General features: G+C 52.8%; 1 protein-coding gene across 6 annotated transcripts in view; it reads right to left on the minus strand.

Annotated features, from left to right (window-relative positions):
• The window catches only part of POLE (DNA polymerase epsilon, catalytic subunit), a 63,581-nt gene that overhangs the window by 40,888 nt on the left and 10,554 nt on the right, over positions 1–12,139 (minus strand). For 5 of the 6 annotated variants that reach the window (XR_941395.3, NM_006231.4, XM_011534795.4 and 2 more), the window contains exons 9-21: positions 11,897–12,004; positions 11,445–11,555; positions 11,086–11,171; positions 10,749–10,868; positions 8,926–9,058; positions 8,515–8,628; positions 7,978–8,190; positions 7,566–7,673; positions 4,162–4,290; positions 3,986–4,088; positions 3,707–3,853; positions 2,854–2,999; positions 653–801 (exon numbers count right to left, since the gene is read on the minus strand). Coding sequence is in view for 5 of the 6 variants with exons in the window: in NM_006231.4 (NP_006222.2) it covers positions 653–801; positions 2,854–2,999; positions 3,707–3,853; positions 3,986–4,088; positions 4,162–4,290; positions 7,566–7,673; positions 7,978–8,190; positions 8,515–8,628; positions 8,926–9,058; positions 10,749–10,868; positions 11,086–11,171; positions 11,445–11,555; positions 11,897–12,004 (1,667 nt within the window). In the remaining variant the exon portion in view is untranslated. Of the gene's footprint in view, positions 1–652; positions 802–2,853; positions 3,000–3,706; positions 3,854–3,985; positions 4,089–4,161; positions 4,291–7,565; positions 7,674–7,977; positions 8,191–8,514; positions 8,629–8,925; positions 9,059–10,748; positions 10,869–11,085; positions 11,172–11,444; positions 11,556–11,896; positions 12,005–12,139 lie in introns of those variants that run through there. The other variant, XM_011534797.4, reaches the window with a different exon arrangement.

The raw sequence follows: 12,139 nt of genomic DNA on the forward strand, positions 1-12,139 counted from the left end.
CCTTGGTGCCCAGGAAGGATCTGGAAGGGTGCAGTATGTGCCACTGCGTCCAGCCGTTCAGGACTCCAGCCTCAGCAGGACTCTTAATACCACCCAGACCCATTCACGCCTTCTCTACTCTCTTCACACCTCCTCCCAAGCCCCATTCTCACCTCCAGCTTCTCAGAGAAAGCCCAGGCCTAGCTGCCAGGCCCAACCCTCCTCCAGCCTGGGTCCCAGCCCTGCTGTCAGCTGTCCCACCCTCCCCTCCCGGCACCAGCCCCATGCCCCTTGTCAGTTGCTTCTCTGCCCCTCCCGGACACGCAGACATGCTGTGAAGCAACTGCCCGACACTCTGCAAGTCCCTGAGTGAGGATCCACGCTGGGAGACATGAACGCGCTGGAAAATGGCAAGTCGTGTCTCCAGCCCATGATGCAGAGACACATACACCCCACAGCACGCATCACTCATGGACACCCAGACCCTCAAAGTCAGCGTGGCCCCCACTCTCTTCAACCTCCCAGCCCCACCCCAGCCCAAAGCCTTCTCCCTCCAACATTCCTTGAATCAGATGAACGGCCCTCCATGCACAGCAGCCTACACCTGAAGCTGCCCTAAACGTGGACTCATCCATTCCTCCCATAAGCCTCTCCCGGGCCCGGGCCCACCTACCCCTTGCGCATGACATAGCCATAGAAGGAGTTCAGGATGCACTTGTGGGCCAGCTGCAGCGAGTCATACAGCACCTCCATGTTCTTGCAGCGCTTCACCTCAGCCGCGTCGCCCACCTCCACGGCCGCCGAGAGCTTCTTTTTCCACACCTGAGAAGCACATGAACATGGAGCACCTCACAGATTCTTCCATTTCACATTCTACAAAGTCAATAGCCCAGGTTTTTAGTATTTTGAAAATTTTCAAATCTATAGAAAACCTAAAAAACCAGTACAATGAAGAGTGTACATTCTTCTCCTAGACTGGCCAACTGTCAATATTTTGTCACACTTCCTTTATTCTGTCTCTCTGTGTTGACAGAATCATTTGAACATTGTAGATTTCACGGTCTGACATCCTAAACGCTTCAGCACAGTTTCTAGGGAACAAGAGCTACTCGGGGGTGCCTGGTAAAATCAATCAAGAAATGCAGCTAAGACCACAGATGTCTCATCAAATTCCCCACCCAACATGAGAAAAGGTTTTTAAAGGCTGGGTATTTAAGGAACAAAAGCAAATTCCTTAAGATAATTACTGAGTGCCTAGTATGTGCCAGGAACTCCATTGTACTCTGAAGCACGAGACAGTCACTACACTTTTGGTGCTTATTTGATGAGGGAGACAGATGAACAAGTAATTTAGCAGTTGCTTAATTAAAATAAAGTGAGATAGTAAGGCAGCTCCTTAAAAGGTAAATGTAGAATTAGCATATGACCCAACAACTCTACTGCTGGGTACATATCCAAAATCACCAAAAGCAGAGACCTGAAGACGCACTTGCAGCCCATGTTGAAACCAGGATTGCTCGCGACAGCCAAAAGGTGGAAGCAACCCAAGTGCACGTCGGTGTATGAAGGATAGACAAAATGTGACAAATCCACACAATGAAATATTATTCAGCCATTTACAAAAATACAGTACAGATACACGCTGTATGTTGATAAACCTTGAAAACATCATACTAAGACTGGGCGCGGTGGCTCACGCCTGTAATCCCAGCCCTGTGGGAGGCTGGGGTGGATAGATGACCTGAGTTCAGGACTTTGAGACCAGCCTGGGCAACATGGTGAAACCCCGTCTCTACCAAACATACAACGATCAGGCGTGATGGTACGCCTGTGGTCCCAGGAACTGGGGAGGCTGAGGCGGGAGGATCACTTGAGCCTGGGAGGTGGAGGCTGCAGTGAGCCAAGGTCACACCACTGTGCTCCAACCTTGGTGACAGAGTGAGACCCCGTCTCCAAAAAAGAAAGCATCATGCTAAGTGAAAAAGCCGGTCACAAAGATACAAATACTGCACGGTTCACTTACATGACATCCCTAGAGTCGTGGAATTCAGAGAGAGAAAGTGGAATGGGGTCACTAGGGGCCAGGGAGGAGGTGGGGAGCTACTGTTTGATGGAGATAAGAGTTTCCGTTTCAGAAGGCGAAGAATTCTGGAGGTAGATGGTGGTGATAGTTGCACAACAGTGCGAATATGCTTCATGCCCCTGAACTGAGCACTTAAAAACACTAAATGTCATATTATGTCCGCCTTACCATTATAAAAAAGAACATGTGACGATGAGTTCAGCAGGGCAGTGCAGGATGCCAGGGGGCCGCACAGCAGGGGCCGTGCTGAGTCTACAGTGAAGGTCTCTCAGAAAAAAAATGGCTCAATCTGATCAGATATAAAATAATGACCCGTTGGTATCAAAACAGAGGTGTTGCTATGCATTTTCCATGTTCCTACCGGATGAAATACGTCAGTTAAACACGAGGGGCCGGATGGTGAATACCATAGATGAGAAGGCCTTAGAGTTTCTAGGAACTCCTCACCTCCCATGACAGCGGGAAAGAGATAAACAATAGGCGAAGGCAGTTGGGTTCGTAAAACTTGATGTACTCAAACGGCCAGCCAGCTGTAGCTTGCTGACCCCTGCTCTAAATAATCACTTTAGAAATCATCCTTTAGGGTCCTTCTGAGGCCTCAGACCAGGGTGGATGATGGTCTGCATCCTTCGTGGCCATCAACTCTTCCAAGTCAAAAACAATTGCACGTTACCATCCGAGTGCAAGTGCCTGCTCAGAGGATCCCAGGCAAGGAGCCAAGAGTGCCCACTTCATGAGCCGACTGAAACTGCCCTCACAGAGGCCAAAGCTTGCAGCCCCTCAGAGCTCACCTTGTGGAGCCCTTTGAACTCGTAACGCCTGTCCCGGAAGGCACGCACGGTGTCCACGTAGAAGGAGTTTTCCCGCTGGCAGATGGTGGTGAGACGCTCTTCCACCTTGGTGATGTGGATCTTCTTGTAGGCTTTCCGGCAGTAATCTAAGCACGACGGAGATGGGCAGAGCAGGTGGGTGAGATCTCCCAGAGCAGAGGGAGCCAGGGCACAGGGGTGCTGAAGAACATGGCTTCTACGTCACCACAAAGGAGCAACAGCTCAGATACACTGCTAGTTTCTCATACCGAAAAAGGTGGGCGGGCACGGTGGCTCACACCTGTAATCCCAGCACTTTGGGAGGCCGAGGCAGGCGGATCACTTGAGCCCAGGAGTTTGAGACCAGCCTAGGCAACATGGCAAGACCCCATCTCTACAAAAAATACAAAAAATTAGCTAGGCATGGTGGCGCACACCTGTAGTCCCAGCTACTTAGGAGGCTGAGATGGGAGGATTGCCGGTGCCTGGGAGGTTGAGGCTGCAGTGAGCCAAGATCACACCACTGCATTCCAGCCTGGGTGACAGAGTGAGACCTCATTTCAAAAAAAAAAAGAAAGAAATAGGACAGCCCAGGGGTAGGAACAGGCCAAATACCCCAAGACCACAGAGCAGCAGTGTCTAACACTTGCAGATGGGGAAGCAAATAAAGGACCCTGCAGTGAGAGCACAGCTTACAGTGACCTAGAGCAGCTTCTGGTCTGCTGTGACAACACCTCTGGGGCCCCAGCTGGGATGGACCAACGCAGCCCAGTAAGAACAGAAAGTGGGAGCAGGAGCCACATCTTTACAGCCGTGACCATGCCCAGGCACTCACCCGCCAGCCTTCTCTTCTCGTATTTCGCCTGTTCCTCGCGGGACAGTTCATGAAAGGCCCGAGCTGGCCCCTCTGGGAACAAGGGGGGGAACTTCTCTGACTCCAGCTGGTGCTGGATCCGATGGTATTCGCTGCGACTGGCTGGCACTGGGAAGGAGGCAATGGGGGCAAGTTCAAAAGGAGGCACAGACACACCGGCTTCCCACCAAGTGGAGAAAGGCGGCCGACACTCACCCACCCGTTTCCCACCGAGTGCCCACCCAGGCGGCCGACACTCACTGAACTCGCCCCTCCACTGCCAGGCCATCTTCCGCTGGCAGTTTGCTCCAGGCTTATTGAAGTCACAGGCAGCACAGGTGGCTTCGTCCACCATGGCAGAGGGCTGGGAGGGGTGAGAAAGCACTTAGGGCTGGGCAGAGAGAGCTCCGACTCTGACACGGGAAGTAAAGTCTCACCTGCAGGCGGTTGGTCAGGATGATGTTGGGGTACATGGCCCCCACGTCCAGGTGGTAGATGAGTGGACACTCGATGCGGCTGGGAACGTCCTTCAGGGAGGCAAGCTTGCTCTTAATCTCATCACACACCTGCAGAGAAAGCGAAACTCAGTAGAGGCTGGTGACCAAGCTTGCCTCGTGTGCAGTTCACCAACCCCTTTTAGACATTCAGGAGAGGAAAAAGCTGAAAAATATATAAATAGAGCAAAAACTAGCCAGAAGAAAAAAGTTAAGAAGGGTTGCCATCATTTCTATGAAATACATTAAATTTGGTGGAGTCATTAGAAAATTACTTGAACACTAAACTCTCCTTAGTATTAAAAAAAATCCTTAGGCCAGGTGCAGTGGTTCATGCTTGTAATCCTAGCACTTTCGGAGACCGAGGCCAGAGGATCACTTGAGCCCAGGAGTTCGAGACCAGCCTGAGCAACACAGTGGGACCCCCGTCTCTATAAAAAATAAAAAATTAGCCGTGTGTGGCGGTGGCACCTGTAGTCCCAGCTACTCGGAACGCTGGGGTGGAAGAATCGCTTGAGCCCGTGAGGTCAAGGCTGTAGTGAGCCCAGATTGCACCACTGCACTCCAGCCTGGGCAACAGAGCCAGATCCTGTTTCAGAAAAAAAAAAAGAAAAAGAAAAATCCTTAAAACCCTCCAAAGTAGTAAAAATAGAAAACACACCTAAAATTTTAAGAAAAAAGTGATTACAAGGAATAACATCTATTCCATAGAACAGGAAATACCACAACAGTAACACCTATTGTTTCTACTTGAATTACAGATAAACGAATCAGCCGGGGAAGAGCCTCCACTGCACCCTTCTCTGCCCAGTAACGGCGTGTTCTGAAAGGCTGTCCAGTCAAGAAGGGGAGGATGGGCTGGGACAAGTGAATGGCCAAGTTTCCATGGTGGGGACACCACCTGGACATGCCCCACGTGGCTGTGAGCCCCTGCTGACATCCCCCCAGCCACCCTCCGCCCAACAGGTGACCCTTCAGGGACACAAAGGCGATCCTGGGCTTCCCTTTCAAGGGCACTTGCGAGGACTTAGGAATCGCTAACAGGACAATGTCATCTACAGAGCTCCCTTCCTCACTCACCAGGGAGCCTGGCGTCCTCACATCTACAGAGCTCTCTTCCTCACTCACCAGGGAGCCTGGCATCCTCACATCTACCACACCTCCAGCCTCACTCTACCTGCCCATCTCACTGTTTCTTAAAGACTTTAAATATCTGCTTCTAGGTCGGGCGCGGTGGCTCACGCCTGTAATCCCAGCACTTTGGGAGGCCAAGCGGGCAGATCAGCTGAGGTCGGGAGTTCGAGACCAGCCTGGCCAACATGGAGAAACCCTGTCTCTACTAAAAATACAAAAAAAAAATTACCCAGGCGTGGTGGCAAGCGCCTGTTATCCCAGCTACTCAGGAGGCTGAGGCAGGAGAATCTCTTGAACCCAGGAGGCAGAGGTTGTGGTGAGCCGAGATCATGCCATTGCACTCCAGCCTGGGCAACAAGAGTGAAACTCTGTCTCAGATTCTGAGACGTCTCGCCACCACGCCTGGGTAATTTTTTTTTGTATTTTTAGTAGAGACGGGGTTTCTCCATGTTGGCCAGGCTGGTCTCAAACTCCTGACCTCAGGTGATCCACCCGCCTCAGCCTCCCAAAATGCTGGGATTCCAGGCTGCCCAGGCTGGAGTGTAGTGGAGCGATCTCGGCTCACTGCAAGCTCCGCCTCCCGGGTTCTTGCTATTCTCCTGCCTCAGCCTCCCGAGTAGCTGGGACTACAGGTGCCCGCCACCACGCCCGGCTAATTTTTTTATATTTTTTTAGTAGAGACGGGGTTTCACCGTGTTAGCCAGGATGGTCTCAATCTCCTGACCTCGTGATCCACCTCGGCCTCCCAAAGTGCTGGAATTACAGGCGTGAGCCACCGTGCCCGGCCATGGCCGACATTCTTTAACTCCTATTTGTTATTCAGACAAGGCTCTCTTCCTGATCGGTTCATAAGAGTTCCCTGAAGTATAATAATGGATGTGGCTGACAATAGCCAAACAGTGCTTCACAGCTTGCCAAGAGTGTACACATATTCTTGTTTAAATTTTGACTAGTGAATCTATTACAAGATGTTTCTTGAGGGCAGGCACAGTGGCTCACACCTGTAATCCCAGCACTTTGGGAGGCTGAGGTGGGCAGATCACTTACAGTCAGGAGTTCGAAAGCAGCCTGGCCAACGTGGTGAAACCTCATCTCTACTAAAAATACAAAAATTGGCCAGGCATGGTGGTGGGCACCTGTAATCCCAGCTACTCAGGAGGCTGAGACAGGAGAATCGCTTGAACCCAGGAGGCAAAGGTTGCAGTAAGCCGAGATCATGCCATTGCACTCCAGTGTGGGTGACAGAGCAAGACTCCGTCTCAAAAAAAAAAAAAAAAAAAAAAAAAGTTTCTTGGCATCAATGTGAAAACTGTTAAAAACTCTAAACCAGCAACCTCACTGAACATGATGTAGTGCTGCACAGTGCCTGACATAAAGACCTGAGATAGGCCAGGCGCGGTGCCTCACACCTGTAATCCCAGCACTTTGGGAGGCCAAGGCAGGCGGATCACAAGGTCAGGAGTTCAAGATCAGACTGGACAACATGGTGAAACCCTGTCTCTACTAAAAATACAAAAACTAGCCAGGTGTGGTGGCGGATGCCTGTAATCCCAGCTACTGGGGAGCCTGAGGCAGGAGAATTGCTTGAACCCGGGAGGCAGAGGTTGCAGTGAGCCAAACTCATGCCATTGCACTCCAGCCCAGGCCAACAACAGCGAGACTCCATCTCAAAAAGGGAAAAAAAAAAAAAAAAAAAAAAAAGACCTGAGATGTGCCATGTCCTGAGGAACAGGGATCAGAGAAGAACTGGTGTCTCCCTCTCCAGTCACATAACACACTTTGTAAGTGTGCTTTCTAACCATTATGTAAACAGATTTTACAGTCACTAATCCTGTCATTTGTAGGAATTTACTGTCATTTTTAAGTCTCAACAACAAAAAGTAAATAAAATTTAAAACCTCCAATGGCTCCCCAGTGCCTATAAAATAAAGTCCTAATGCTTTAAAACAGGACACGGGATACATCCCACCAGGACCCACCTTCCATGTTACTGCATTTCAGGAGCAGCTCACACCCCACCTCTCATGAAGCCCTCCGACCTTGTGACAGCATCACACGTCACAACCATGACTGCCCTGTCCCACCAGAGACCCTGTGTCATCCGTCCACAGCACCACACGCAGCAGGTGCACAATAAACGTGCTGCTGAAAGACGTGGTCTGTGAAGAAGGCGCCAAACACAGACTGGCTCTTCCTGCCTCCCTGATGGTTACCTCTTCAAAGTTGGTGACTTGCTCCACAGGCACTTTCTCCTCTTCCTCAAGGGCGTGGCGCAAGGTCTTCTCAACCCGCTGCAGCAGGAAGTCAAAGGCGGCAGGATTCTAGCACAACAGTGAGACGACGGGGTCAGAGGGGAAACACACCCACACTAGCCTGCCTCAGGTTTGACGCTGTGGCTGCACGTGGCAGGTTGTGCCCGAGAAAGCTCCGGAAGGACTCATGTGCACAATCTGCAGTGCACTGCCCTAAAGAAGCCCCCGGGGGGTGCTGGGCCAGAGAAGCCACACCCGGTGAGGGGCCGTGGGACAGGATGGGGAGAAGGGGCTTTATTTCAGCCCCTGCAGCTTCTGGGTCCTACCACAGCACAAGAGTGGGAAGAATCTGAATCCCAGGGAAGAAGCACACCATCCTAAACCGGCAAGGGATATCGCTGCGGAAAACCCCAGACTCGAGGGCCTCCACGTGGCCCCCGACGTAGGTCTCAGAGTCCAGCACGTGTCCGTCGTCCGTCAGCTTATTGAACTCCTGCTCTTGCTTGTTGGGGAAGATGATGTTGGCGTGGAAGGCCTGCACCATCAGCAAGGCCTCACACAGAGTGCCAGAGCCCTTCCGCAGCACCTGCAAGAGAAACCAAGGCTTCCAGCCAAAAGCAACACCAAAGGCCCTGACTTGCAGGCAAAGTCCAGGAACCTAAGCTGAACTTCAGTGTGAAAGGAGAGAAAACCTCGTGGTAAATGGCTGCAAATTCTGCCTCCTGTGGTTTCTTCCTCACACCAGGGCCAGAGAATTCCCAAAGGACATCCCTGACGTCACACACCAGAATTCTACTGCCGCCTCTGGTGCCAGCACTCCTGGGACATCCACCTCCATTCAGCTCCAGTGCATTTGGAATGGGGCAAGGGCTGAGGAGGCCAGGGTGCCGACAGGACAGATAATGCTCACCTCGTCGGGCTCCATGGGAATAATGGTGCACAGAGCAAAGATGAATGGGTGGACGTACTTCATGTACAGGTAGTAAGTGGCGACAGCATCTGACACAGAATACGTGGCCAGAGTCTGAGGAGAGAACGCCAGAGAGCAGGGCCATCAAAAATCAAGAGCCCAGGGTCAAGTGTGAAGCACAGAAAGCAAAGCCTGGCCTGACCAGCCTGCCGCACACACAGTAAGGAGACCGGCACAGGACAAAACACGTGTGTCCCGGAGACACAGCCTGCTGGGTGGAGCGGGCTGGCATACATGCGTGCACACGGCAGCAGGGGGAGCCGGGATGTGGCTCACATGCCTGGGGCTGCTCCGTGGCCATCTGGATGCGTGCACACGGCAGCAGGGGCAGCCGGGATGTGGCTTACGTGCCTGGGGCTGCTCCGTGGCCATCCGGCACATGTCCTCCGGGTCTAGCTCCACGGGATCATAGCCTAGCTTGGCCTTGGCGGCCGCCTTGAGATTATGACTGCCCACAGGAAGGTAACTGTCCCTCTTCACCCACCTGGAAGGAGAATGAGAACAGAAGCCAGGATGATTCTAACATGCAGCCCGGGAACCCCTGAGAACTGGCAAAACTGGGCACCACACAGACAGATGCAAGTTCCTAACAGGCACCCAGGAGCCTCACACCAAGGCCCCACATGGTGTAGACACCTTGTGAAAACCCTTCATCAGGATCTAGTTAATCTCACAGACCTATCCACAACACAAGGAAGCACCAGGACTGGTCCTTCCGGCCCTCGCCTTCCTCCCATCCTCAGCAGAGTTTGTGGCCTCTCCGACGGGCGCCCCACCTCCTTGGGCCTCTCCCCAGACCTCAGGTCTGCACCCCTGGGGCCTAGTTCTATCAACCACACTGATCTTCTCTCCTCACACTGTCCCTTCAGCACGGAAACACTCAAGCCCACCCTCCTTTAATAGAAGGCAAGATGTGATCAGATGCCAAGAAGAATAAAAATTTAAAAAATAAATAAAAAATAAAAATTAAGAAAAGAAGGCCCCCCACACTCTACCCGGAACCTGTCTCTACCTCCTCCCTACAGACGCATTCCCTGGAGCAGCTGTCCAGGGGTCATGTCCGGTCTCCACCCCCCGCAGCCTCCACCCTGTGGCCTTCTTCTCTCACTTTACCTCTTGCCTTCAGTTCATCCACTACCCCAGCTTTCACCAAGACCCACCCGCAACCCAGTGAGTCCCAATCTACAGTGCGAGCCCAAACCAAGCCTCATGGTGGTCTTCAGGGCCCCCATATGGGTGGGGCTTCCAGGCTAGCATATCGGTAGCAGGGTCACCTCCTGCCTCAAGCCCCTTCTCTACCCATTCCCTGTCTCCACGGATGGCACAAAAACCCCAGGTGCCAACCCCTCCCTAAGAACCAGCATCCCTGGGCCTCCCCCTGCCCCACATGACAGATCCTGAATCCTCACAACCCTCACTCCCTGCCTTGGATCAGGACTGTCACACCGTCACACGCTAAACCGGCCCCAGCCTCCTGGCCTCCCTCTCCAAGCCAAGTGCTGAGCATCAGAGCTAAACAGAAACGCATTCAGGCTGCAAGCACCCCAGTGGCACTGTGCAGAATACAGAGGCCGTGGAGGCCCCTCCATTCCCTTCCTTCCCTCCCTCCCTTCCCTTCCTTCCCTCCCTCCCTTCCCTTCCTTCCCTTCCCTCCTTTCCTCCCTCCCTTCCCTTCCTTCCCTTCCAGCCTCCTTCTGTTGGCATTTCCACATCCACCTGTCTTCCCAACCAGTCATGTCAGAGCCCCCGAACGCCGTGACTCTCCGAAGCTCTGAGCTGCCTCCCACCCTAGCTCATATGGAATCTGTGGTTGTCCCGTGAGGCTTGTCCTGTGAGGCAGCCGGGCTGCCACATCCCAACCTTGCCTGGGCAGAGCAGCTCCATGAGGTCCTAGGTCTGGGACCTGTCAGCTGAGTGCGTCTTTCCAGCGGCTTCCCCACCCCAGAGGCTGATGCTCAATGTGCCTGGTCACTGATGAATTGTCAGTCAACAGTCAAAGACAGCACATCCCGGGCCCTGGCAGGGTTGCAGCTGCCATACTCTTGGGTGACCTGAAACGGCCTCTCGGAGGCCACCCTCCTCCCATGAGATGTGGTGACAGCACAGTCTGCAAGAGGCCTTCAGATCTCGCTCACGGACAGCAGTGAGGAGCCATGCTGCTCTGTGGCCCCTACCTGAGGCAGTCCATGTGGATGCACTGGGGCGCCTTGTACTCCCCCTGGCTGTCCTTCTGGAAGCCTATCTCCTGCTGCATGCTCAGACCGTGGACTGCTGCCCGGGCCTCCACAAATGGCCTGGGTTGGAAAGAGGACAGACAAGCAAGTGGGCAGGTCAGGCTCTAATGCCCCTTTCTCCATTCCTCCCTCAGACCCAGGGAGGAACCCAGACACGGGAGGTGCAGAGTGAACCCAGGAGCCACCTCCTAAGTCGACATGGGAAGCGCCCCTGCACCACGCAACGCCCTCCCTCTCAAATGCTGCCCAGTTACTCATAGAGAAGACACAGACTCACCAGTCAAAAAAGTCCCCGTTGTAGGTGACCATGATGGTGGGTTTGGTCTCCTGGACGTGTTCAAACCACCTTTGGATCAGATGAGCCTGAACCCAAGTCACAGCAGTCAGAGGTCTGCTCTTTCTCTTCTTCAAGCTATTCCAAATTCCTCTCCCAAAGTTCAGAAGCAGCAGCCTCATGTTGGCCCTTATTCCTGCCCCGCCCCTCCGCCCGTCTCTGGCAGAAAAGACGGTCATACCCTGAGAACAAAGCTCATGGAGCTGCAATTCTGATCTGACGGAATGCCTGAGGCCTTGGAAAGATCCACATGTCCGTTCTTCCCACAATACCGGGTAGTTTCCCAAGTGATACCTCCTTACCTCATCGGGTTCATTGAAGACACAAAAGGGGCCTTCATATTCTGGCTTGGGGGTGAACTCAAAATCTTCAATATCTTCTGAAACAATCTCCCTGTTGGTGATGAGGTAGCCCTAGCCAAGTTCATTAGCAATCAGCACAAGTCAGAGGCTGCAAAGCCAAGAAATGGCGTTCCCACCCTGCCCACACACTCTGCCTAGAGATTCTCACTACAAAGAAGTCCACAGCAATGTGAAAGTGCTTTAAGCTTCCTGAGAAGAGACGCTCTGTGTGTGGATTCCCACTCGAAAGGGGAGGGTACAGCTGGAGGTCGGAACGGCTTGGTTGCTCCCATTCCTGGACTAACTCATTATTCACTCAACAAATACTAACAGTGGGGCAGATGCTGCTGTAGTATGGGGACCAGACAAGGTCCCCATCCCAGGAGCTTACTTCCCAGAAGCCACCTGCTCACCTGGCCATCGATCATGTAGGAAATCATCATAATCTGGTCTGTCTCAGCATCAGGAAACTTGAGGGGCAGTTTGGTCGTCTCAATGTCAAATGCCAAAACCACAGGGTCCTGTGGGGACAAAATAAGCATAAAGCCAAGCTCTAAACTCCCCATTAGGCCTCCCTGAACACCCACCCCCAGCCTGCTCTACCTCCCTCTGGTTGTTAAAAGAGTCAAAAGGCTCTAGAGCTGGGAGAAGGACCC

This window comes from Homo sapiens, chromosome 12, assembly GCF_000001405.40.
Source record: "Homo sapiens chromosome 12, GRCh38.p14 Primary Assembly".
In the NCBI taxonomy this organism is placed as follows: Eukaryota; Metazoa; Chordata; class Mammalia; order Primates; family Hominidae; genus Homo; species Homo sapiens.